The sequence below is a fragment of the Homo sapiens genome, chromosome 2 (genome assembly GCF_000001405.40).
Source record: "Homo sapiens chromosome 2, GRCh38.p14 Primary Assembly".
In the NCBI taxonomy this organism is placed as follows: domain Eukaryota; kingdom Metazoa; phylum Chordata; class Mammalia; order Primates; family Hominidae; genus Homo; species Homo sapiens.
In genome coordinates, this window is record NC_000002.12 from 78,542,362 (window position 1) to 78,570,348 (window position 27,987).

At 33.9% G+C, this 27,987-nt stretch overlaps 2 long non-coding RNA genes across 4 annotated transcripts; one reads left to right on the forward strand and one right to left on the reverse strand.

Moving 5' to 3' along the window:
- The first annotated feature begins 3,169 nt into the window (after positions 1-3,169).
- Positions 3,170-23,727, forward strand: LOC105374820 (uncharacterized). 2 transcript variants are annotated; one of them, NR_136312.1, is made up of 4 exons: positions 3,170-3,236; positions 10,259-10,339; positions 19,495-19,584; positions 23,511-23,727. It is a non-coding gene; the product is annotated as an uncharacterized LOC105374820 (long non-coding RNA). The 2 variants fall into 2 exon arrangements; NR_136311.1 differs by lacking the exon at positions 19,495-19,584.
- Positions 15,788-27,983, reverse strand: LOC105374819 (uncharacterized). 2 transcript variants are annotated; one of them, XR_001739194.1, is made up of 5 exons: positions 27,889-27,983; positions 21,445-21,524; positions 18,379-18,421; positions 17,568-17,684; positions 15,788-16,003 (listed from the first exon to the last, which is right to left on the reverse strand). It is a non-coding gene; the product is annotated as an uncharacterized LOC105374819 (long non-coding RNA). The 2 variants fall into 2 exon arrangements; XR_940272.2 differs by lacking the exon at positions 17,568-17,684.
- Positions 27,984-27,987: the final 4 nt, after the last annotated feature.

Consider the following 27,987-nt stretch of genomic DNA (forward strand, 5'->3'; position numbering starts at 1 on the left):
ACTCTTTGCAGACAACCCCCAGTACCAGTCCTGGAGCCTGGTAAACTTGCTGGGTCTTGGCTCTTAGGAAGCCACATCCATAGGAAAATTGGGAGAGTACTACGCCAAGGGAACACCCTGTGAGACAAAAGAATCTGAACAGCCTTCACCCCTTGACCTTCCCTCTGACAGAGCCTACCCAAATGAGAAGGAACAAGTAAACCAACTCTGATAATGACAAAACAAGGCTCTTTAACATCCACCCCCGCCCCAAATCACACTAACTCACCAGCAATGGATCCAAACCAAGAAGAAATCCCTGATTTACCTGCAGAAGAATTCAAGAGGTTAGTTATTAAGCTAATCAGGGAGGCACCAGAGAAAGGCGAAGCCCAGTGCAAGGAAATCTAAAAAACGAAACAAGAAGTGAAGGGAGAAATATTCAAGGAAATAGATAGCATAAAGAAAAAACAATGAAAACTTCAGGAAACATGGGATACACTTATAGAAGTGCAAAATGTTCTGTTAGGTCTTAGCAATAGAATTGAACAAGTAGAAGAGAGAAATTCAGAGCTCGAAGACAATGTCTTCAAATTAGCCCAATCCAACATCGACAAAGAAAAACGAATAAGAAAATATGAACAAAGCTTTCAAAGAGCCTGGGATTATGTTAAACAACCAAAACTAGGGACCTAAAGTGTTCCTGAGGAAGAAGAGAAATCTAAAATTTTGGAAAACATATTTGGGGAATAATCAAGGAAAACTTCCCCAGCCTTGCTAGAGACCTAGACATCCAAATACAAGAAGCACGAGGAACACCTTGGAAATTCATCTCAAATATATGTGCCATTTTACTTATTTTTCTTGCCTTATTATGCTGGCTAGGATTTCCAGTATAATGCTTAATATCAATGATGAGAGTAGACATTCATGGTTTTTTTTTTTTTTCTGATCTTAAGAGAAAACTTTCAGTACTTCATTATTAAATATGAGGTTAGGTAGGTTAAGTAAATTTTGTAAACATTCTATTATGTTCCAAGTTTACTGGCAGCTTTTAACATGAACAGATGTTAAATTTTCTCAAATGCTATTTCTCTATCAACTAATATAATCACATTTTTATTTGTTTTATACTGATGATATAATGTATTACATTGATATATTTTTTGAATATTGAACCAGTTATTATTGCTACAATAAAACCTACTTGGTTATGGTATAATATTCTTTTTATATATTGCTGTATTCAGTTTGCTAATATTTTTTGAGGATTTTCAGATCTATGTTCATGATGAAAATTTGTCTGTTTGTATGTTCATTTTCTTGTACTATCTTCCATCTGGTTTTGATATCACAGCTATTCTTGACTCAGAAATTGGAAAGGTCTTCTTCCTGTTCATTTTTTAACTTTTTTGGAGTTGACTTTTTTCTTTAAATGCTTGATATTACTTCCCAGTGACATGACTTGTGCATAAAATGTCCTTTCCCATACCATTTTAACCATTATTTTAAGTTTCTTAATAAGTTTACTTTTGAGTAAATTTTGATAGCTTTCTGGTATGATTTGAATGTTTTGTCCCTCTGTAACTCATGTTGAAACTTGATCTCTAATGTAACAGTATTAAGAGATGGGGCATTTAAGAAGTTGTGTCATGAGGATTCTACCCTCATAAATGGATTCATGTATTCATGGATTAATAGATTAATGGATAAGTGGATTAATGAGTTACCATGGGAGCAGGTCCATTATAACAACCAGTTTGGCTCTCAGTGCACCTCTCTCACCCTGTGATGCCCTGTGTCAGGTAATGATGCAGCACCAGGCCCTCACCAGAAGCTGACCAGATGTGGCTGCCCAATCTTGGACTTCTCAGCCTCCAGAACTCTAAGAAACATTTTCTTTATAAATTAATTAGTCTTAGGAATTCAGTGATAGCAACAGAAGGGACGAAGACACTTTTCCCTTTCATGAAGTTGGTCCATGTCATCTGAGTTGTAAATATTTTTGTTCATAGAGTTTTCTTCCAGCATCTTCTTATTAATTTTTTAACCTTTGCATGGTCTGTAGTAGTATTCACTGTTTTATTTCTAATATTGACAAAAATGTATGTCTTCTGTCATTTTATTCTTTATCAGACTAGTTAGAAGTTTATCAATTTTGTCATTTTTCCCATTAACCATCTTTTTGTAGTTTTATTCATTTTGTGTGTGTGTTCTGCTATTAATTTCATTGCTCTCTGCTCCTATTTTTATTTCTTTTCTTCTGATTTCTTTAGAATTACTGTTTTTAATTTTTCAAGTTTCCTTAGAAAAGCTTTGATTTTAGGTTTGAGACTTTCTTGTTTTCTAATATTAGCATTTATTCCAATAAACTTCCTTCTAAGCACTGCTTTTGATAATGTTGTATTTTAAATTTTATTCAGTTCAAAATATTGTCTAATATCTATTGAGATTTCCTATTTAAGCTTTTAAATAACTTTGAAATATATTTTTAGATTTCCAAATATTTGCAGATTTTCCAGATTTAATTTGCAGATTAAATCTGCAGATCCAGATTTGCAGATTTAATTTCATTATGATCAAGGAACATACTTGTGTGCTTTCAATTGTTTTACATAAGGTTTCATTATCTTTTACAAGATGATGATTAATACTAATGAATGATTTCATACCAACTTGAAAATAATGTCTATTCTACTGTCATTTGGTAGTGTCCTATAAATGCCAATTATATCCATTCGGTTTATGATACTGCTTAGCTATTCTATCTTCTTGAGGATTTTAAAATTTATTATTGTGTTGATAATTTAGAGAAGCATTTCAAACCTCCAACTACAGTTGTGGATTATACATTTCTACTCTGAGATTTCAAATACATGTGAAATATATATTTATATTTTCATGTATGTCAAATATATTTTTAAATATTTTCAAATTTTCTGGATTTCTTATTTTGTTTATTAATGTTTTCCTATTTTAACTTCTGTACCTTTAAATTTTAGTGTCTAATGAATAAGTCCACACCTACTATTATTCTTTCCTTTGTTTTATTCATTGAAACTTTAATTTTTTTCTAGATTGACATTGATATCCCTTTGTGATAGCACCCCCCCAAAAAATTGTATTGTATTTGATTGCCGTTGTATTCATTGCATAATTTTAATGCTAACAAATTGGATAAATTTTTCAGAAAGTGGGCAGATTGACATTTCTGGCAGAACCCTAGGAGCAGAAAAAAAATCTGAAAAACAAATAAGGTAACACCACCTATATTTTTATATGTTGCTTTTAGTGTCATGTGTGACTTAGTCTCATTTCCGGACAGGGAATTTATGAACTCTGTGTATGGGGGTAGACAGAGTAAGGCCGATAGTAAAGATTTTCTAGCATTCCAAAAATAATCCTGCATTTATCCTGATAAAAAATCCAGAAAAAGATCCTACCAGAAAAGAAAACTCCAGGCCAATATCCCTGATGAATACAGGTTCCAAATTTCTCAACAAAATACTAATAAACTGAATGTTACAGCATGTTAAAAGAATCATACGCCATGATGAAATGGGATTAATTTCTAAGATATACAAGGATGGTTCAACATAAAGATCAATCAATATAATACATCACATTTAACAGAACAAAGGAACAAAGAGAAAATTACATAATCACCTCAATAGATGCACAAAAAGCATTTCACAAAATTCAACCCTGTTCCTGATGATAAAAAGAAAGAAACACTCAACAAACTAGGAATAAAAGGAAATGCAAATTGAAACCACAGTGATATAATCACCTCAAACCTGTTAGGATGGCTACTATGAAAAAACAAAGGATAAATATTGTCAAGGATGTGAGGAAATTAAACCCCCTGTGTAGTTAGTGATAATGTAAAATTGAGCAGCTACTATGGAAAACAGTATGGAGGTTTCTCAAAAAATTAAAAATATAATTACCATGTGATCCAGCAATTCCATTTCTGGGTATTTATCCAAAATAATTGAAATCAGGCTCTCAAAGAAATATTTGCACTCCTACATTCATAGCAGCATTACTCAGAAATGCCAAGTGGTAGAAACACCTAAATGTCCTTTGAGAGATGAATGAATAAAGAAAATGTGATTTATATAGACAATGAGATATTATTCAAATGTAAAAAGAAGGAAATCATGTCATATGACACAACTGTATTACCCTTGAGGACATAACGTTAAGTGAAGTAAGCTAGTTAATAAAGGACAAATACTGCATGATCCCATTTATATGAGGTCAGACTACTATAAAGTAGTCAGACTCTTGAAACAGAAAGTACAATGGTGGTTGTCAGGATGGCAAAGTTTAGAGATGTCTTTTATAGAGTTGTGATTATAGTGTTACTGGCAGGTCTTTGTTCTTGTCCCGCTCTCAAGATAGGGGCAAGCCTTTTTTTCTCTCACCTTGGGTTCTTGGCCTCACGGATTCCAAGGAATGGATCCTTGGGCTGTGTGGTGAGTGTTACAGCTCTATTAGAAGCAGTGGGTGACCAAAGAGAACCGTGGAACCCAGCGACTAGTGTTCAGCTCGATTAGGACAAACCCGGGCACTTAGCTGCGCTGGAACAATGGCGAGCCTCTAGCCCAATCGGGAGCAGCAATGGGCGCCTTGCTGGATCAGAAGTGCAGCGGACACCCTGCCAGATCCAGAGGGGTGGAAGTCAACGGGGGATCTGTGATGGCGGCATTCAGCAGTGGTTGACAGCAAGTGAAAGCTCAGCTCAAGCCGGAACAAACACAGACCGGAAGAGTGTGCAGTTGCAAGATTTAATAGAGTAAAAACAAAGCTCCCAAAATATGGGAGGGGACCCAAAGGGGTTGCCACCACCAGCTCAAATGCCGGAGGTTTATATCCCAATCATTGCCTCCCCCTGTGCTCTCAGGTGATAGATGATTTGATTATTTCCTTACCTCCTGCTTTTAGCCTAATTGGTATTTTAGTGAGCTCTCCTTCCTACCTGACTGGTCGGGTGTGAGCTGAGTTACAAGCCCTGTGTTTAAAGGTGAGTGTGGTCACCTTCCCCAGCTAGACTCAGGAATTTTTAGTTGGCCTAGGAAATCCAGCTAGTCCTGTCTCTCAATAGTATAGAATACTCTACTGTACACTTAAAATTTTGTTAAGATGGGAGATCTCATGTTACATTTTTGTAACTACAATAATATTTTTAACCACAATAATAACAAGCATAATTATGAAAGAAAAAAATAGCAAAAATATGGAGTGTGACAGGCAGAATACTAAAAGTGCACTTCCCATCCAGTTCAATATCCCATGCCTTAATATCTAGAACCTATGACTATGATGATATATTGCTCTCATGATTATCGTATATGGAACAGTTGACTTTAAAATAGCCAGATTGTCTGGGTGGATTAATTTAATCACATGAGCCCTAAGAGCAGAATGCCTTCTCTAGCTGGGAGCAGAAAATTAATCAGAGATTTAAAGCATGAGGGAGATTCTACCCACCGTTGGTGGTTTTGAAGCTGGTGGGAGACACATGCTAAGAAATGCAGGTAGACTGCAGAAGCTATGGACAGCCCCCAGATGAAAGCAAGCAAGGAAATGGAGAGTTCAGTCCTACAGAGGCAGGAAACTGAATTCAGCACACAATCCAATGAGTTTGAAGGCAGATTACTCAACAAAATCTCCAGATAATAGCCCAGTCCCATCAATACCTCGATTTTGTCTTTGTAGGACACCAGTCAAGCCTACCTAGTTTTCAGACCTGCAGAAACTATGTGTTATTTTAAGCCCTTGATTGTAGCAACTTGTCACTCAGCAGTAGACAATTAATACATAGAGTGCTAGCTGTAGGGAGACTCAGGATTCCACTAAAATCTAACTTCATGTGAGAAATCTTCACGTGAGATTTATGTCTGATATTTTCACTGCTGTATCTCAAGCACCTGTAACAATAACAAGCATTTAGTAGATACTCAATTAATTTTTATTTGATGAATAAATAAACCAAGAAAGAATTATTATTTGATCAATGTGTATGTTGAAGGAAGAGAGTTAGTAGAGACAAGAGGGGACCATAAGAAAAAAAGTGATAATTAATGTCCAAAAACCTAGACACAGGACAGGATGACATCCAAAGAAAAAGATAATAAATGTATAATTGACATGCTGTATGATTGTCATTGGGGAAAGCAGAGAAGAATGTGTGTTGTTTCAGATTGTGGTTTGCACATTCAGAATAAGGAATTAAAGAGATCTTAGTGGTGACACTATATTCTATATGAAATTGTATGGTATACAATTATCTGATAATTAAAGTTGGAGAAAGCAATTTGCTGGGCTTCTTAAGAGTCATAAAAAAATTTTTGAATAAAGTATCATATACCATGGTTTCATATTTTAAGTTATTACAATTCTTGGTAAAGAAATTGTCCACAGAAAAGCTAAGGAAAGGGGTGATTAATATGTCTTCAGAACTGAGACATTAAAAGAAATGTGCAATTAAGTTCTTAGGTACTAGACTGAATTGCCCAGAATGGTAGCAGCAATTAGTGTGGAATGAAGACAGAATGAGGAACTTCATAAATGCAAGCTCATATACTTTATGAACAAAAGACCAGAAATTGTTAGATAATGGATGGACTAAAAGAGGATGCAGAAAATTGTGTTTGGATGCCTTTGGCTCCTAAAGGAGAAGAGTTTAGCCCTTTTCATTTATGTGAAAAGGAAACGACTGGAAGTCTTAGTGAGGTACAAAGAGGTTATGAATACTACCTATAGAGACAAGATGCTATGGAAAATCAAAGACTTTCTTTCCTTGAAAGGGCAAAGGCAGAAAGAACTTATGAAGGAAAGCTGAAAGGGAGATAATAGGATCAGAGAGATGAGAAAGGACTGTAGTTCTTAACTTAGTGTGCCGCGTTTTTATCTATTATACCCTTAAAGATGAAATGTTAACAAAAAGAATTACATGTTGAATGGCCATTTGCCACCCATCTGTCTTAATAAAATGAAATCAAAGAAAATAATTTTTTTGCCTCTTAAAGCAACTATGTTAATGTTAATCAAGCACGATGAAATCATCGATATTTTGAACTATATGAAATTTTTAGATATCATTTCATATGGAAACATTAAAAATCCCAAGCTGTTGAAATTATGTCAGTTTTAAATGCCAAAATATAAGTTGTTAATAGAATTTTAACAGACTGCCCTATGAGCTTTCAAACTTGGAATAAGAAGTCTGGAATCTTATTTGATATAAAGCTAAATTGAATAACATATAAAATTCTGTATTATTTCAAATTCTAAGAAATGAGGATGAAGTATAATATTAATCTTAAACATACTCTTAAATAAGTTCATTTTCTTTAACTATAGGAGAAAGTGTTAAAGATTCAAATTGAGTTTAAGAACCATAACTAGTTTTGAAAAGTTCTCTCTTTAACTTTATAAATGCATATTCTCTCACCTCCAGATTGTACTTTATAAAAATCATTAAATTGGAATCTTTCATTTTAGGAAAAAATGGCAGACTTGAATAGAAATGAAACTTGGAACTCTTACAGAACTTCTATTTTACAAAAATATAAAGATTTTAGCCAAGAATTTTTATTATCCTATTATCAAAGCCGACTGCCAATTTTCCCATCGTACATCTTGAAAAACTTTATGTGCTTGCTCTTTCCTTGATAACATGAACATTGTTATAGAGTGCAGTATGTAGAAGTAAACTGTTGTTGTAATTTTTGAAAACATTATTTCCAGTGCCCTCTAAAAAAAAGAAATAGGCATTGGTAGACTTACTTATAAGTTACATCATAAGATAAAACACCAAACATACCTGATCAATAATAAAATTAATGTAATAAAAATTTATCTTGAAAATAGCCTTCTGAGTGTTTAATACCACAAATATTTTCAGAAACACAACCAAAACATTTCAAATAGCAAAGAGTTGTTAAGAAGCTCGTATATCAGAATCAAAATAAAAGACAGAGCTAATGGTGCACAGATTGGTACAATGTCATTTGGTTTTAAATTATATCCAGTTGGTAATCTCTAAAGCAGCATTTGCAGATATTCTACTAAAAATGTAAGTGTAGGCCGGGCGCGGTGGCTCATGCCTGTAATCCCAGCACTTTGGGAGGCCAAGGCGAACGGATCACGAGGTCAGGAGATCGAGACCATCCTGGCATGGTGAAACCCTGTCTCTACTTAAAAAAATACAAAAAATTAGCCGGGCGTGGTGCCAGGCGCCTGTAGTCCCAGCTACTCAGGAGGCTGAGGCAGGAGAATGGCGTGAACCCAGGAGGCGGAGCTTGCAGTGAGCCAAGATGGAGCCACTGCACTCCACCCTGGGCGACAGAGCAAGACTCCGTCTCAAAAAAAAAAAAAAAAAAAAAAGGTAAGTGCATACAATACAGTTATTCATTAATACAATTTTATTGAAAACTTACAGTATGTCAGACACTGTGTTAGATGCTGGACAATCAATGTTGTGCACAATAGGTCAAGCCTCTCCTTAAGAAGTTAACACATTCCTGGGATTCCAGGCAAAAAGAGAAGTATAATACAATATGAAACATGGTGTAAATAAAGTGAGTAATATTGCACTAAAGTAGCGTACCAGATTTAGAGGTAAAGAATGTATCTTTGAGAAACAGTTAAGTAGATATCTCTGAGACATGAAGAAGGAATAGAGAAGTCAGGAGTGAAGATGGTGGAAAAAAATGCATTCAAGTAAAAAAGAACAGCTTGCATTTAGTACATACTTAAGAAAGAGGGAAGAGAGGATGGAAAGATATAACAAGAAAGGGAGGGAGAAAGGGGTGTTAGAAGGACAAGAGAAAGAAAAATGGTATTTTCTAAAAATAAGAATTAGTAGGGATAGCTACAGCTTAGAATTTGAGTGAGAAACAGTAGTAAGAAATGAAACTGGAAATAGCTGCATGAGCGGAATGACTTTGGAAGCCACGTGAAGAAGTTTGGATGTTTTCCTAAATACAATGGAGAGGTATTGTAGTTTTAAGCAGATGACATGATACTATTTCTAGAAAGAAAATTGGTTACTAATGAAAAATAGACCAGCAGGGAGAAACACTGGTTAAGGAAATTGTGTAAGAGGTCTTTTAGGGAAGAATTAGTGCAACTCTTAAAGAACTTCTATTTAACAAAATATAAAGATTTTAACTGAAGTCTTTATATTACTAAGGCAGGAGCTAAAGTGGATAGAGCAAAGTTTTCAGATTTAGAAATACTTGAAAGGGAGAATGGAAAGAACTTGGCAAGTGATTAGATGTGGGTGGTGAGGAAGCAGGAGTCAAAAGATCATTCTGAACTAGCTCCAGATTTTTTTTTTTTCTTTTTTGAGATGGAGTCTTGCTCTGTCGCCCAGGCTGGAGTGCAGTGGCATGATCTCGGCTCACTGCAACCTCCGCCTACCGGCTTCAAGCAATTCTCCTGCAATTCTCCTGTCTCTGCCTCCCGAGTAGCTGGAATTACAGGCACGCACCACTGTGCCCAGCTAATTTTTGTATTTTTAGTAGAGACGGGGTTTCACGATATTGGCCAGGCTGGTCTTGAACTCCTGACCTCAAGTGATCCAGCTGCCTCGGCCTCCCAAGGTGCTGGGATTACAGGCGTGAGCCACCGCACCCGGCTGACTAGCTGCAGATTTCTAAGTCAATACTTGAAGTGAGGATGGTGTTCTTCATTAAGTTATCAAATACTGGAGAAAAAATCAATTTAGTAAAGGTGAGAAGACTTGAGTCATGTGAATGAAGTTCCTCTGGCACATCGATATGTGCCAGATATAGGTTGATATAGATCTATAAATAGTCTTAATTATAGATCTATATATAGATCTATAAATAGTCATATATACTATATATAGATCTATAAATAGTCTTATTTATAGATAGGTAGATAGAAATATCTATAAATAGGACTATTTATAGATCTATATATGTATATCCTAATAGTTGTATTTATAGATAGGACTATTTATAGATCTATGCACACCAATAGAGACTTGCACTGATGATATGATGCAGGCAGGACAAGTTCATAGGACTGTGACCTATGCAGTTGCACAAGTTTCCTTGCTCAGAAGGTTCCTATATTGATTTAGCAGTGTACTGTCATCATCTTGAAATTCTAAATAATTTTATTCTGAACTTATGTTTTATAAGTGAAGTCCAGTAAGACAGTAGAACATACATGTGAACAGAAGAGATATGTGCAAAATGCATGCCTGCTGCATCTCCTTACCCCTCTTCTCATACAGCACCTGTGATGCCCTGTGACTACAGAGTTCCAGTAGAACTATAATCTGTGGAAGTTCAAGAAGACTTAAAGCAGGTACAAAGTAAGTCCATTATATTTATAATGAGTAATCAGAGATGCTGACAGCACTGAGATGTCATGCTTTTATGTTTGAATCAGAACTGTCTTCTAACACAGAAATAAGGTAATGACATTCTTTAAAACAATGAATGACCAATACTCTATTATATCCTTTCCTTCTCACGTTATTGCTCTGCATTAACTAACCACTTATGCTGAAAATGTTAACATGAATGAAAGGGAAAGTTAGTCCAACCATAGCTTCCTTTTTATTTCAGTCCTTCCTTACTCATCAGCAAGCCTAAGTAGAAAGTGTTGTGTGTATCAAGGGCTGAGAAGTGGAGAGGAGGTGATCAATGGGAGGGAAGGAGAGAAACAGGAGATGGCTAATAATGGTAATAGAGTTTGCCTTTTGGGTGATGAAAATGTTCTAAATTCGATTGTGATGATGGTTGCACAACTCTGTGAACAAACTGAAAACCATTGGATTGTACACTTTACATTGGTGAATTGTATGATATGTGAATTATATCTCAGTAAAACAGTTTTTTAAAAAGAAATGAAATAAAAACAGTCAAGTTAGTTTTGTTCAATATTTCTACAGTTCTGATAAGCACAAAATGCATATGCAGGTGCAGGCTATGAAACACAAATTGTGTAATGGTCATTCTGCTTATGCATTCAATGCTCTTGTATTTGCATTTAAAATTGTCATTGCACAATATAAAAATGAATGGCCCATTAAAATAGTGCACTACTTCAATACATTGATAAATGATGAATATACATTCCAGTTAGAGTTAAGCTGTAATTATATAGCCAGAATATTGCAAGTATCTTGAATACTATACTGAAAATATATACATACAAAAATTTATATGTGTTAGTAAGAAACTGACTTTTAAAATTTTGATAATGAAAGACTCATGTTTTTCTATAAAATGAAAGAAACATTTGCAAAAAGACAAAATCACTTTTCCTTCAGTCCATATCTTTCCTCCATTTCTCTTACAGGAAAAACAAACAAAACAAAACAAATCTTAAGTTCCTTGATTATTTTCTAAAGTTATCTTTCAAAGGAATGGGAAATTGCACTTAAATTTTATTTTCTTGTAATTTATTTCAAGTACCTTAGGAAAACATTGTTAAGTATATAGAAAGCATCTAGTTGACATCAAATAAGATTTGAAAGAATTATATCAACGTAATATACTCTTTTGATAAAATGAAGAAATATATACTATTAATCTCTCTAGTTTTTTATCATTAACAAGGTGAATAAAATGAATTCTCACAGGTCAACCAATTTCCATGTTGATGACTGAAACAGGTCTGACTTCCAGAGTAGGTTACTCCAACTCAATTTACTAATCCTATTGTAATGAAACCCAGGCTCAACTGCTTGCTGCTCAAAAGCCAGACATGAGAGAGAGGAGTTGGTGGGAGGAAAAGCAGGTTTATTCAGAGAGCAAGAAAACTGAGAGATGATGAACTAGCATTCTAAGGTACCCACAAAAACTAAAAAGAAAATAAAAAGAATGAAGCACTATCTTACATTTTAAATTTCACCACAGGGTTTTTAAAGAGAAAGTTGGTATGGGAGACATGCAGGAATGGTACGAGGTGCAGGGTATGTGTGTCTTTGTTCCAATTGCTATCTTGGGCAATCACCCATCTAGAGGTCTGGTTGATGATATCTTGACATCCACCCAATGGTTGTAGACTAATTGTTGCCAACTCCCTGTAAGTGGGAGGATTCAACAGGGGCTCCATGTCTGGTTTGTTTCAAGGTTAGCCTCTGGGATTTCTCAAACAAGAACATAATTAGATAAGCACGTATTGCCAGAGGAGATTATCTGAGAAGAAGGGAAGTAAATGGTGAGAGAGGAGAGAAAAAAGAAAATGGGTGATTTGGTAAGTTAGAAATGCAGAGAAATTGTGTAGATAAGCAGCAAGAATACTCCAGGAAAACAAATCATATTTGAGAAAAGATGATATAGCTGCCTAAATACTGAGTCTAAATTTGTATACACAATAGGTATACAGTTTATATAACTATTATCTATTGAAGCTAAACTCTGTTAAGTGCATAAGTAATACTAATATGGCCAGGCCAAGACTAAGACCTTGTTCTTCATTTCAAACTTCCTATGTATGTTGCTAATGTTTGGACACCAATTTTTAGTTTCCTTTACATTGTTTCACAAGAACTGAGCATATACATCTAAACTTAATATAAATTACAGATGCTAATAACAATGAGGAATTATGAATAGAAGTTTGCCTATGATACTCTCCTCACAATACGACTTAGATTCAAACCTGCCTTTGAGTATGGGTCTAATAATAGTTACTTTAGCATAAATTTAAAGTCACTAACATACCTCCTGGGACTGTATCCCCTATGCCTAATCATGTAACAAAAGGTTTTGACTTATTTTAAATGGAATATAGTCAAATTAGTCAACACCATCTTTTGTAGCAGTAGAGAGAAAAACGAGCTTTTTTTTATTTTACAAGCTATAGATCTATACCATTACAATCAAATGTATTTTATTCTTTGTCTGAGTTTAAAGTCAGTGCTGCTTGTCTAATTTTAAAGACCAAGTCATACTTATTCTCACTCAATAATACATTCAGTTTCAAAAGACTTGGAGAGCTTCACTATCTGAAATTAACATACTTTAATCACTTGAGTAAGATATAAAGCCCATGAGGCCAATCTATAACAACTAATACTTCAATATTTTTCGCTAGCTCTATCTCCACTTCAACAAATCAGTATTTTATAAACTGGAAAATAGGTAGGTGGACCCCAGCCTTCACAGACTTAGTAATCTATTAAATTACTTTAATATTTTATACTCCACTTTTCTTTAAAATTTTATAAATAGTTACTAAAAATTTCCAATAAAAAATGTCTTTGTTTCCAGAAAAAACAATAATGCATTACTTAAACGCATCATCCAAACAATGGCAAATGCATGACTTATTCATATATCAATGGACTCCCTAAGTAATGATGGTCAGTTATAATACATTAGGTGCCTTCAGAATTTAACACTTAATGTATTCAACAAATAGATTATGAGGTTGAATATTTCACTAAAGAAATAGAATTAGTATTGGGAAAAATGGATTTTTTTTCTATGAAATTCTAGAAAGAGAAATACAATCCTGAATTTGAGAACTCAGTATGTGTTTACTAGTCAAGTGGACATTAATGAGAAAAGTTTTAGTGACATGAAAGATAAGGCTATATGATATATCCAAACTGAAGCAAGAGAAAAAATATTGATTAAAAACAAAGCAAAGTAAAAGAGCAGAGGTATGTATTTTTATATATATACACATATATACATATATGCATATACACATGCATACACATACATATGCATACATACATAAACACACAACACATAAACATATATCCACCATGATTAAGTGGGCTTCATACTAGGAATGCAGAGATGGTTTAACATATGCAAGTCAATACATGTGATAAACCATATAAACAGAATTTAAAACCAAAATCACATGATCATCACAATAGATGCAGAAAAAACATTTGACAAAATCCAGCATCCTTTAATAATTAAAATCCTCAGCAAAATCAGCATACAAGGAACATACCTTAATGTAATACAAGCCATCTATGACAAACCCACAGCCAACATAATACTGAACAGGGAAAAGTTGAAATCTTTCCCTCTAAAAACTGCAACAAGACAAGGATTCCCACTCTCACCACTTCTATTCAACACAGTACTGGAAGTCCTAGCCAAAGCAATCAGACAAGAGAAAAAAATAAAGGGCATCCAAACCAGTAAAGAGGAAGTCAAACTGTCACTGCTGATGATATGATCGTATAACTAGAAAACCCTAAAGACTCCTCCAAAATGCTCCTATAACTGATAAATGAATTCAGGAAGTTTCAGGATACAAAATTAATGCACACAAATCAGTAGCTCTGCTATATACTAACAACAACCAAGCTGATAATCAAATCAAGAACTCAACTCCTTTTACAACAGCTGCAAAAAAAAAAAATTAAAATACTTCGAAATATACCTAACCAAGGAGGTAAAAGACCTCTACAAGGAAAACTACAAAACACTACTGGAAGAAATCATAGATGACACAAACAAATGGAAACACATCACATGCTCATGGATGGGTAGAATCAATATTGTGAAAATGACCATATTGTTAAAAGTGATCTACAAATTCAATGCAATTCCCATAGAAATACCACCATCATTCTTCACAGAACTAGAAAAAAACCACCTTAAAATATGTAGAGAAACAAAAGAGAGCTAGCATAACCTAAATGTTAGTTTTTGAAAAGACTATTAGGTTAAACCCTAGAAAAGTTAATTAAGTACAAAGAAGGTACAACTTACCAATATTAAGAATGATACAGGCAAAATCATTACTGATCTTAAGGATATTATAATTAAAGTTACCCCAATTAACACAAAACAAGTGGAAAATCTTAATAGTTTTATATTTAATTAAAATAATTGAATCTATAACTAAAAACCTTCCCATAAATAAATCTCCAAATTAAATAACCTTGACTGGCAAATTTTCTCAAACATTTAAGAAAGAAATAATATCAACTTTATACACATGTTCCAAAGAATGGAAAAAGAAGAAACATTTATCAACTAATTCTATGAAGTAAGCAAAACCATGATAATTGAAAGCTTGCAGAGACATTAAAAGGAAAAAACAAGTGCAGACAATACCTCTTATCAGCATAGATGCAAAATATAAGTGCAAAATTGGCAAATAAAAAATATAAATGACAAAGCAATGTATCCATCATGACAAAACTGGGTTTAATCTTGGACTACAAAGGTTATTTAACATTTAAAAAACAGCCAATGTAATTTTCCAAATTTACAAAAAAAGAAAAACTTTATAAACTTCAATGGATGCAGACTAAGCTCTTATAAAATTTAACACCTATTTATATAAAAATCAAACTCTCTCAGCCAGCTAAAAAACAGGAACATTATTATGCTGAAGAAGTTATGTAACAATAACCAAATGGTTGCAGCAAATATCATTTACAGAAAAAGTGAAAACTTCCCTCTGAAATTTGGAATGAGGTAAAGAAATCCTGTATCACTATTTCTAGTTATATTTTACTGAAATTACTACCAAAGCAATAATGAAAGAAAAAAATAAAACATACAAGAAAATATACAGGGACAATATACAACTTCTCTGTATAAAATAATTTTTATACAGGGAAAATAAAATTGAAGAAACTGCAGAAGGATCTACAAGGAAACTATAAAAATTGAGTTAGGAAGGTTGCAAGATTTAAGGCCAATATACAATAAAAGGACAAATTATTTCTGTATAACACCAACAAGCTGTTAGAATATGAAATTATAAATATGATACCATTTGCAACAGCAAAAAAAATCATCAATATGAAAGACATAAAATACCTCAGCACTGGAAGCTCTGTCACTATTGAGAAAATGTGAAGATGTCTTCAGTAAATGGAAGTTTGTAACATGATTATGAATTGAAGAATTCAATATTGTAAAGAAGATACATAAATTCCTCAAAATCCCAATCAATATCCCTGCAAGTTTTATTAGTAATTGGGAAGTTGCTTCTCAAGTAGACGTGGGAATGCTTCACATCTAAAATACCCAAGACATATCTGGAAAAGAACAATATTGGAGAACTTACAATACAAAATATCATGAATTTGTATAAAGCCACAGTAATGAAGACAGTAGGCAGTATTTAAGACAGTAGGGTATAGGTTAAGGATAAACACATTTATAAAGGGAACAGAGTAGAGTTCATAAATAGGCCTACACATACATTCAAAGTTATTTTATGACAAAGGTGCCACTGCAATACAATAGGGAAATAATAAGCTTCCTAATCAATAGTGTTGGGTAAATTGGATTTGCATACAAAAAGTTATTTTCACCCATATCTCATCCCATGCACAAAAATTAATTATACATTTAAACATAGGTCTGAGTATAGATAATTAGACAATAAAGTTCATTGAAGATGACAGAGGATAATTCATTCATGAGCTCGGGAAAGGCAGATTTTTTTAAAATAGAGTCTCAAAAAGCACTAACCATAAGTGATTAATAAATGCACAAAAATGAAGGAAATAGAGAATCTCCTTAAAATACCACAGTAATAATTTTTTTTTTTTTTTTTTTTTTTTTTTTTTTTTGAGACGGAGTCTCGCTCTGTCGCCCAGGCTGGAGTGCAGTGGCGCGATCTCGGCTCACTGCAAGCTCCGCCTCCCGGGTTCACGCCATTCACAGTAATAATTTTTGCAAGCAAGGTTTGATAGTAGATACTACAGTGAAAGCACAGCATATATGCATCATCCTCAAGTAAAATAGAAACCTTATAGTGGAGAGACCTGGCAGTTATCCCTTAAACCAGTGATTCAGATTAACATCAGTAATAAGGCATATTAATGTTTTTAACCCCTAATATGACTCACCGAAAAGAAAATATCACTTCTGTGGTATTCTCAAGAAAAATGTGTAACACAATTTTATCATTAGAAAACATCAAACTGGTAGCAAACCCAAATTGAGGGGCATTAAATAAAGTAATTTACCAATTTTTCAAAAGTGTCTAAATCATAAAAGGGAAAACTGAGAAGCTGTCACAGGTAGAAGGAGACTAAGCAGGCATAGAAGTAAATGCAATGTGAAATACCGAATTGAATCCTGAAACAGAAGAACGATATTAATGGAAAAAACTGTAAAATTCAAAGAAAGTCTAGTTTACTTATTAGTTTCATAATGTTAATTTCTTAGATTTGATGTATTTTTATGGTTATATGTTAACATTACAGAAAGATATTATAAGTTAATGGGAAATGGGAAATTTTCTGAAGTATTTTTAGACAAATCTGTATTATGTGATCATTAAAAATCATATTGGCAAAAATACATAATATATTAGATATAAACTTTTAACCTTTAGGGAAATGATCATAATATATATCCAATTATATATACCAAATGGGAGAAAAATGACTAAAAAGACAGATATCAAACTCAAATATTTTCTCTATGAGTATGTATTTCTTTCAAATTAGAGGAATATTTTAACACAGTATAAACCAACTGTGTTTAACTCCATTTATTATTTGATCAGCTTAACTGAAGATACTGTGGCATTAAAATAAAATAAAATTTAAATTGCCTATTTCCAAATTGGTTTATGTAACATGGTACCTTTTGTTGCTGCTGTTGTTTTGTTCTGTTTTTTGTTGTTGTTTGTTTTCTCGTGTGTGTGCGTGCGCGCGTGCGTTTTTGGTAAGAACTGAATACACTCCTTTTTCTTGTATTGATCTGCATTTGTAAGAAAAGCAGTGAAAGAATAAGTATACTGAGGCCCTGCTAGTTAAGGTTTTCAGTGCTCTGCTTCATTGAATGGAAGTCTTCACTATTTTTATTCACATATATATTAATTCAGTCATTTTTTTCTTTACTGTGGGTTTATTAGGAAACTTCTCTATAATTGGGCTTATACGATATACACAGATTTCCATTTTCCAGAAAGTAAGTCAGACGGATGGTGACTGGTAATTGACATCCCTGTGTGACTTCATACCCATCAAATTAAACCAAATTTGGCAGTTGATGGGATGTGGCTACTAAAGACCTCAATGTTTGCATTTACATAGTTTTGTCACTGATAGCTTTAATGGTCCTTGATAGCCCAAAAGTATGGTTGGCATTACATTTTTGTTTCTTTTCCAATTTCAAATCAAAGCAATGTTTTCTCTGTAGGGTATAAACTTTAGTTACTTTACCTTTAATGATAACATATTTTTATTTATTTGCCCACAGAAAAATCTCAAATTTCCAATTTATTTTTATCTTTATCTAGGCACTCTAATTCCAACACTAAGCCTTTGGGTGGCTTTTCCCAATGCAATGCTTATCAAGTTGTCATTGAATTATAAAATATGCTGCTATGTGCTATGAAATGTTCTCCTGAAAGAACAATTGTGATGCATTAGCTAACAAAAATCTTTGTTACCTCACAAAGGAGAATTCGACAGTTCTTCACTGGTACTTCATGCCTAAGAAAAATATGCAAATAAGAAAGCAAACTTTTGGAGGAGGGATGTGCATGCACATTAGTTGACAATGCTTTTTTAAAATATTTCTAATCTATCAAGAGTAAAAAGTTAGAATATATTTTTCATTTTAAATCTCTAGAGGTTTTCAATTAATATTACAAGGATTGAATTTAATTCATTACACATCTACTATAGAAGAAATATGACTTGTATTCTTAAAGAGTTTTAGAAATAAGGACTGCAAATTTATAAATGGACTCATTTTTAAACCTCACCAGAATGCTTCATTCCTTCAGATTTCTAAATCACCAAAATAATATATTAAACTTTACATTACTGGGAAATAGTATGCATATTTTATTTAAAAAGCAATGCTCACACGAATGGTGGCTTTGTATTAATTCTCTCATAAAAAATCTTCAGGATAAATTAAAGATAATTGAGAAATATTGGCAATGTGGAGTTAAAGAAACCTCGATTTTAAAAAAGTCTAAAGGAAACAAAGATGATGGCAACAAACAGAAGATAGACATTTGAATATTTACCACTTCAAGTGAAATGTAGCTACACTGACAACATTTAGACCCCTTTAATATTCCCTTTAACTATAGTTGTCTTAAAAATTACCTCTACCTACACTGGGACCCATATCAGGTAATGAACTATCATAAGTGGGAGGCAAAGACTTAACAACTGGCTGTATTTGTGATAAAGCCTGAATGACAACACTCTTATTTGTCATTTTCTTGTATTACTTCATTCTCACTACTTCATTTCCATTACTCCCTCAATTAAAGATATTGGTTAAAGATATTATGAAAAGAACATGTTTTTGATTTGCTTTTCATTTGGGTCAGGGAAAAATTATATTACCTGTGAAAATTTGTGGAAAGAATGAAGACTTCTTAAATATCTTAATAATTTAGCATCAACTTAGGATATTCTAAAACACTGGCAGGGGGGAAGGGAGATGATTTGAAGCATTACTTACATAACATTTCAAAAAGCTCAAACCATATAAATGCATTGCTCAAGAAACTGAGAATCTTAATACAACTTGTTTTTTCCTTCAGGTTATTTAAAATTGAATCACATGGTCTTCACAATGTATAAGAAAACAAAATTAATATAGTTATAACAGTCTGAATATTTTCTTCTTAGAGGTATGTTTTCCATCCTCTCTGCCAAAGGAAAAAAATAGCCAATTTAAAATAAAATGGAGCATTGGAAACACAGCAAAGGAATTCTCTGTCACACTTCCTGCTAGTTTCAAGCTATTTTCATTGTACTTGGCTCATCTTGAGTATTTTCAGCCAAAATGTTATTCAGGCTCCCTGAAGTACATTTCCTGGGGGTGGGGAGCAGATTTTTTATCATTGTATAATAGCATTTAATATATCAAAATGACATTTGAAAATGTCAAGAGGATGTAAGTTTGAGTATGTGTTTGTGTGTGTGTGTGTGTGTCTCTCTCTCTCACACACACACACACACGTTCAGATGTCAAAGCCCCAAATCTTTGAATTCTTCAAAAGTTACTCAATATTTTTAAAAAAGTATTACTGCGAAGTTTCAGTAACTTAAATAAAGTTTAAACAGCTCATATTGCGCTAATAATTTAGAAACATGGTTCATTTGGTGATGGTAGAGGTGTTTTTTTGTTTTTTTTTTGAGTTTTTTAACCAGTGCTGTATTTCATCTCCTGTTTCAGGAAAGAGACAGAGAGAACACACACAACAGAATCTAGAAAATCTGACTTCTGGTCTCTACTTATATATTCTTTAAATGAATATATATTATAGTAAATGTATTTATTGTTTAAGTGTTCTATTGTGCAATTACTGTATTCCAGGTACTATGTATATCACAAAGGTAATACAATAGAATCTAACATAATTTACAGAAGAAACAACATTTTGATTATTCACTAAAGTGTTAGTAAAATAAATAATACTTTTAAACCTGTATCTTTTCTTATAAACTATTCTAGATATAGCGATAAGCCCTTCCTTAAATAGCCTCCACTTAGCTTTTCCATATTATAAATAATGCAACAGCAATAGTTATTATAATTAGCTCAAAGATTATATATTTACTATAATAAAAACTATACATTATTAAATTATTATTATTTCAATTTTGCAGTCATTGGCCAAAACACCCTAGAGTCTCTTCCTGATCAAGAACAAAAACAAAACCAAGAAACAACCCCACCAAATCCACATATGTCTTCCAGAGATTTTATTTTATTAACTGGCACAATTACCTACTGAATTGCCAAAGTAGAAACCTTGAAAGAAATTCCTCCTCCTTTTGTTTGTAGAATTTGAAATCTGCATTTTTCCATGGAGTATAATTGTTTACATTTTTGCTTTCATTTACCTCAGGAGCCAGCAAAATTCACTGGTTAGGAGCGTGGGCTGTGGAGCCAAGCTACTTGGTTTGCTAGCACAGCTTCTCGACTTCTGTTGTGTGACTTCAGACATGTTATCATGGAACTGTTGACTTATTTAAAAGACTAAGTTAAAAAAATTATATCTACTTCATTAAGCATTAAGTGACAATACATCGTACATGGTGCTCAGTATCTATTAGTATCTATTCTCTTTGGCTTGTTTTTTTGATAATTCTACCACTTTCATCCCATCTATTTTCTATTGTTTAGTAATTATTCAATTCTTAAACTTCTTTGTATGATAATGATTTTTTTTATTTTCCAGCAATAATATGGTTCTTTCAATCATATTTGGACATACGCTATCAGTGTGCAATTTTGAACTAAATATCACTTCTAAACAGTCTTACAGCTTCTTGAATTTCTCCTTCTATCTGTTCTATCACTTTGTGTGTATCACTTGTTTTCCTAAATTTGCATTGTAAGATGGCAGGACCCATGCTTGTCTTCTTCCATGGCTCCAGTATCTAAGTAAGAATCTTGTATATAATAAGCATTCACTGAAATTAAATTAAATTAATTAACTAATATATTAAGAATAAAAGAGAGCAAGAATTAATATACATACCTCATCCTCAACCAGAAAAATGATCTCTGGGGAAATGACAGTCCATCACAACTTTCCTTTGATAATGAATGTTAGATGCCCTTAAAGGATAAAAGAAAGGAGCATTTAGAAACACCATCGTAGTTACTTTGTATTCATTTCTTTATTTATTCCAATCAACTGACTCATGAGATAGATTTCTTTATCTTCCTGTTTTCGGATGAGGCAAATTAGGCTCAAAGAGATTGTAAGACATCAGCGGTGACTGAGGAAACCTGTATATCAAGCGGTTCTTATGTAACCAATTCACTACCCATGGTGGTGATTCCAGTCAAAGGGAGCTTCCTGGGTTTTCAAGGCATCTCCAAGGAGCATCATCATCGGATCTATCAGAGAAAGACTACCCTTAACCCTTTTCTTGTCTTAAAATGTGTCACAATATGGCTTTAACTGTGGAAATAGATGAAGACCACCCAAATGAGAACAAGCAAAGGCAGGTTTTTTTTTTTTTTTCTTGGAGTTTACTATAGCAAGAGAAACAGTTATCATCACTTGCATTTTACAGAGACTTAGGCAGACTGAGGGTTGGGAAAGCTTTGTAGTAGAAAAACCAGAAGGTTTTAGGTATGCCCTTTTCGGAGGCTGTTGGCATGGGAATGCTGGAGGTGGTCTAACTAGAAGTGGGGAAGCATATGCGATTAAGAGTGCATTATTTTGCTTTCTCCAGTTGGTCCTAAGTGGGAAGCAGCTGCAAAGAATGGGAAAGCCATCAGTTATTAATCAAGTTCTGGTCATTTTGAGCCAATTGCTTAAAATGGAATCACATGGTCTTTACAATGTGTAAGAATACAAAATTAATATAGTTATAATAGTCTGAATATTTTCTTCTTAGGAGGTATGTTTTCCATCCTCTCTACCAAGGAAAAATTAATCAAAAACTTTTAGAAATAGAGCATTAGAAATACAGAAAAAAAATTCTCATTATACTTCCTGCTGGAAGCAAGCTATTTTAATTATACTTAGCTACAGGGGGTATTGTTTGACTTCCTAGAGTGGTTGCAACAGATAGTAGGTTGGCTTTCTTGGCTGATTGCTGCAGGTTGTGAGCCAGACTTCTATTTTTATTTATACCCTGACTCTTGTTCATGTATATATCCAGTCTTTATACATATTAGTATAAAGCAAATAACAAATAAGAGTTACCAGAACATAGCACTACACTTCTCAACTAACATGAATAATGGAGTGACATATACTAACCATACAAAGAGAAAATTTTAAATGGCATATTGTATTAGTCTCATGTTTAAAAAGCATGGCAAAGGTTTGACTCTGTATTATCAAGTAAATAAATGAGGGTACCAAACAGAAAAATGTGGCTTACCATGATGAAAATTATAGAAATTAGAAAGATGTACTAGTCTGATGCAAGCAAGTCCACTTACTCTATTAAAAATAAGCATAAACAAGTCCATCACCTTGATGAGTTGAAACCCAGTTATTGGTGTTTTGGGTACTAGGGGTCTGAAAAATCTGTTATCATAACATGTAGTCAGAAACATTAGAAGGTGGCAATAACTCGGAGATAATAGTCAAAACAGAGGTGAGACAATTAAGGAGAAAGGTCAGTGGTTAGAGATGAATAAAAGCAATCCAGGAGGTCGACGCAGTTAACAGGAAGCAACCTCTGATCAGTGATAGGAATAGTGGTTTGTAGGACATCCCAATAGATGAGGACCAGGCACTGCTGAAGTACACGGTCACATTTCATCTAGAAATGTAGAGTTCAGCCTTATGAGATGAAAAATCAGTAGTAGCTCAAATGTGGCACACTGGAAGGGTGAGATAAGGTAATAAAATGTAGTTAAAAGTCTAAAATAATAACCGCAGGAGCAGCCGCTGCTGACAATGATAATCCTTCCCCCATTTTTGACATATCAAAATGGTGGCAGTGTTCCTAACTGAAATCCTAGCGCTTCTGGCTTACCCATCAGCTAGTCATTTGCCTTTAAGTAAGTTGTTATTTTCTGTCTCTTGGTAAAATAAAAGTGACACTAAATCATCTCTATCCTTTCCTGATTCAACAGAGCAGCCAGAGTCACTCCTATCTCCATTGCTTACATGAGTGAGAGATGTGAGTATTGCCCAGTGGAACAGATGAGAAGTAATCACAGATATTATTGCAAAAATCAGAAAGTCAAAGAACAACAGAACTCATTTGACTGTATGGGGCCTAAGAACTTACCAGTGAGAGAGAAATGCACAGCACAGTATCATATTTAAATACAATGAGCTAGCAAAAAAAGTGTGTGTTATTGGGTCTCGTTATTCCTTTCCTCTTTTGTTCTAACTAGAAACCAGTACTTCCGAGCCATGGTGAAGATACACATGGTGAAGTTGCACATGACTGAGACTGGCTATGTGAACAGCAGACAATTTTTTTTCAGGCAGTTCTTGTCAGGATGGAATTTTAAGGCAGCATTCCCATAAATTCTGTAACTCTAAGTAAGAGATTTTTGCATAATGTGGAACTTGAAAACAAGACATCTTTTCTTTAAGTCTAAAAATGATATTTTCTATGAATCCTTGATTTCCAAAGGGACTGTTAGAGCAGAAGAGTCCTTTTTATGATATCTTCATTTTGCATGAAATCACACTGAATAAACATATATCAGTCAGAATAAGAACAGTAAAAAAGTAATTACTTCCACATCTTTCCTCTGAGGCTAACACAGAGAAGAGTAAATTGTCTAACAATGGACAAATCATAGCTGGTTTTTAACATTTTAGATTGCTTTGGGGAAGCGATACACTTTATATTCAAGTTTTCAGTGGCATAGTATTATTTATTAATGATGAATTTATTAATCAAATCTTCAGAACATTATTTAAGCCATTGTTAATAGCTGTTTAGTGGTAAAACTATTGCATAGCACTTAAAATCCAAATTAATTTGGCCCAGGAACTGAACAACTGATTAATAAAATATAGCAATTATTTCTATTGTCAATTCACTGAAAAAGTTATGATTATTTTGATGTCACACATTGTTTTTAGTGTAGTGTCAGTAACGTACAAAATGCTGGATTTGCATACACATGAATGCAAGTTATATACACATGTGTATACATAAAATGTATTTGTACATAAATGTACGTGTTAGCATACAGGAATAAAAATTATAGCTGTTATTGAATGCTGGGTAACTGGATCTCACCAAAAAATCACAGTAATATTTTATATTTGCTTTTTTCAACAAAATATACAAAAAAGTTCTATAAAATAGTCAAGATTTTATAGTTCTATACTAAGACATAAAAACAATAAATTTTAAAAATTATTTAATGCAATAGTGGAATAAATTTTAATTATAAAATCAATGTTAAAATATAAAATGATTATTAACTCTTAAGTGAAAGTATACAGAATGGTATTATACTAGAATTGTTTCCATTAAAAAGGGGCTTTTTCACTGTTCTGGCTTCTAATGCCTGAAGTTAGAGTTAGCCACAGGCCTTCCACATGAGTCCTCAGAAGATATCATGGAAGTAGAGAATGACATGAATATTTGTTGTATTTAGTATAAAAAATAAATTAGCAGCACTGTGAAGAAGAAGATCAAGATTATGGGTTCTACAAAGGGCCCTACCTCAAGGCAGCCACGTTGGAGAAGGAGGATACATGAAGAATGGAAAGAAACGGTAGTGAGAGTTCTACAACTCTGCCGTGGCGGCGCCATTAGAGTTGGGCAGGCACAGGAAGAGATACAGTATCCAGCAGCAAAGCAATGAGGTTCAGGACCTTTTCTGACTGAGAAGGGAAACTGTTTTTAGAGAAATGCACTCTCTCTGTGGTTCTGGGATTATCCAAAGCAGGGAGAAAGCAGAGACTGAGTGAGATTGGACTACTCTCCCAATCCAGTTATTTATGGTTTGTGACAGATTTCATTTGATTTAAACAAATCCAAGTTGATTTAGACAATTCAAGTATTGTGGATAATTTCATGCCTATTACACTAGAAGGCTGGAATTTTGACTGGATGTTTTCCTCTATTTATGAAACTTTTGTATAGTTTAAAAATTTGCTAGTGCTCCAATTTACTGAGTAACTGCTTGGGGTAGAACTATGTACACATAAGTGCTGCCCTCACCTATCCTTTCATATAGGAAACATCTTCATTTCACTTAGGTTCAGAAAATGTTCTGACTGTCTATTGCTGCATAGCAAATTGCCCCACACAAACTGGCTTAAAAAACCACGTTGTTTTATTCTGTTAACTTCAGGAATTCAGAAAGAGCTGAACCAGGTCGTGATAATTTGGTTCTCTCATTCAGTTCCAACTCAATAATAGAGTAAGATATATGGGACGATAGAGCAGCTGGGGACGTCTGGGCAAAACTCTCTTCTCCAGGAGTCTTAGAGTCTTTACCTGTGTTATTTCCATGTAGTCTCTCAGTGTTAATTAATTTAGGCTTCCTCATAGCATGTCAACAGAAACATGTAATCAAACTCCTTGCATGGCAGCTAATATTTTTCAAGAGTGAGTATTCAAGCAAACAATGCAGAACCTGCAGTGCCTTTGTGTGACTTAGACTGAGAAGTCACATGGTGCTTTGCCAATGCTGCCATTCTCTGTTGCTCAAAAACATCGCAAAACTTGCCCGTTTTCAAGGGGGAGATGATACAGATAACTCCTGGTGATGGGAATAGTGTAAAGGAATCTGTGGATAGATTTTGGAAGTGCCACAGAGAACACATGAAACCCAGAAAGAGCAATTGGTGGACCCCGGGTCTGTAGAAACCAAGGGCTCTTCCAAGCCAAGCATTTGTTCATATCAATGTAATCAAGTGAGATCAGGAGACTATCTGAAAAGTCTAAATGAAAACATCACTTCTTAGTAATGAGACCAATTGGAGCATTTTCCTTGTCTTATTAAGGTTTTTCAAAAACATTTGCCAACAATAGTACCAGCTGTAGAAATAACACAGCATGACATAATGAAGTTTGGCTTTGTTTCCCAAAATAACATATTACAAATGCAATACTTATACTCTGAATTACAGGGTAATTTATCACCACTGTTAACATAAAAGGTCTCAAAATAGGCGTTCTTCTATTCTTGCCATTATCTAGTCCCTATTCTTTCCAGTTGTGCATTTGATTTCCTACTTCTTTTCAGTTCCTTAAAGACAGAGCATTGGACTCATTCCTTTGTATTCTCTGCCTTTGTGATTAATGGTAGCTTAAGATAGTACACAGCCACAATAAGTAATAGAATTTAATTTCACTATAAATTTTTAAATTGTAAAGGGATATAACAACAGAAGGCCCCCTTGGTGGGAGAGCAATGTCAAACAAATGAGTGATTTTTCCACAGTAATAAGTAACTCAGCGATGAGCATTTGTCGTTTCCTGTCAGAGGCGGGCTTGTGAGGCATCCAGGCATAATTTACAAACCTGCTGGTTCCTACCCATTGTTCACTGACTACTCCGTTAGTCTCTATCTGCCTGATAGAACAGAAAAATAACCTCAGCCTAGCCTCGTTATTCCCTTTCTAAACTACCATGCATACAATTATCTGCACTGCAGGCTTCTCTTGAGACTCCGTTGGTTTTTCTTAGAGAGAAAGCATATGACAGTCATTTTTTTCATTTTTCTGCTTATAAACTTCATGGTTTCTTTTTTGCAACCTGTTATGCCTCCTTATATTTTAACCCTTGATTGTTTATTTTTGAGAATTGGATCACTAGGTTCAGAGTTGTCATCTTCAACATGCAAGCTATGCAAATTTTATTCAACTAATTAAAAACATAGTTAAGATGACATAGAAAATAAGGAAAATACAGTATCAGGCCATGTGATAAAAGCATGCAAAATACTTTTTCTGTAACACGATGGCAATTATGCAAAAATGTGTAAATGTAATAGTAAAAAGTAATATTCAAATTTGGCACAGACTTTAAAATGATGGACACCAGTAGCACTATTACATTTTACAGATAAAGACTTATACAACTACAGTTAAGATTTTTCATAATGCCATAGCACAATGTTATGAATAAAAATAATTTACAATGAATATTTTATTTTTGTAGTGATTGATTGACTCATGGAAACATGACTGTATTTTAAGAAAAAGAAACTCAAGGTCAGAAATCCAATTTATGATTAATGTCAACACTTTTGGTGTTGGGTAAGGTCACTGAGGATTGCATATCTGCAGAAATCAGTTAACTTTTCCGCCGTATGTGTTGTAGAGGAGGGGAGAGGAGAGGAACAACTGCACATTGCAATAGAAACAAAAAAGATGGAGAGAGTATGGGCACACAGCTGTGAAATCAGAACACTAGTGGGAATTTTGAGTAATAGCACCCTTTCCTACTCAGAAGTAACAATTTTAGGGCAAAGAAAAGGGGGCACAGCATTACTACATAAAGAACTTTGAGAAACACGTGAGACTCACCCAAAGACAGATGACTAGTCACAGGCAAAATTGGAGAAGAGCTGGGAGATCTGACTCTTAGTGCCTTGAACATTCTGCTTTATCATTTTTGCTTCTTCG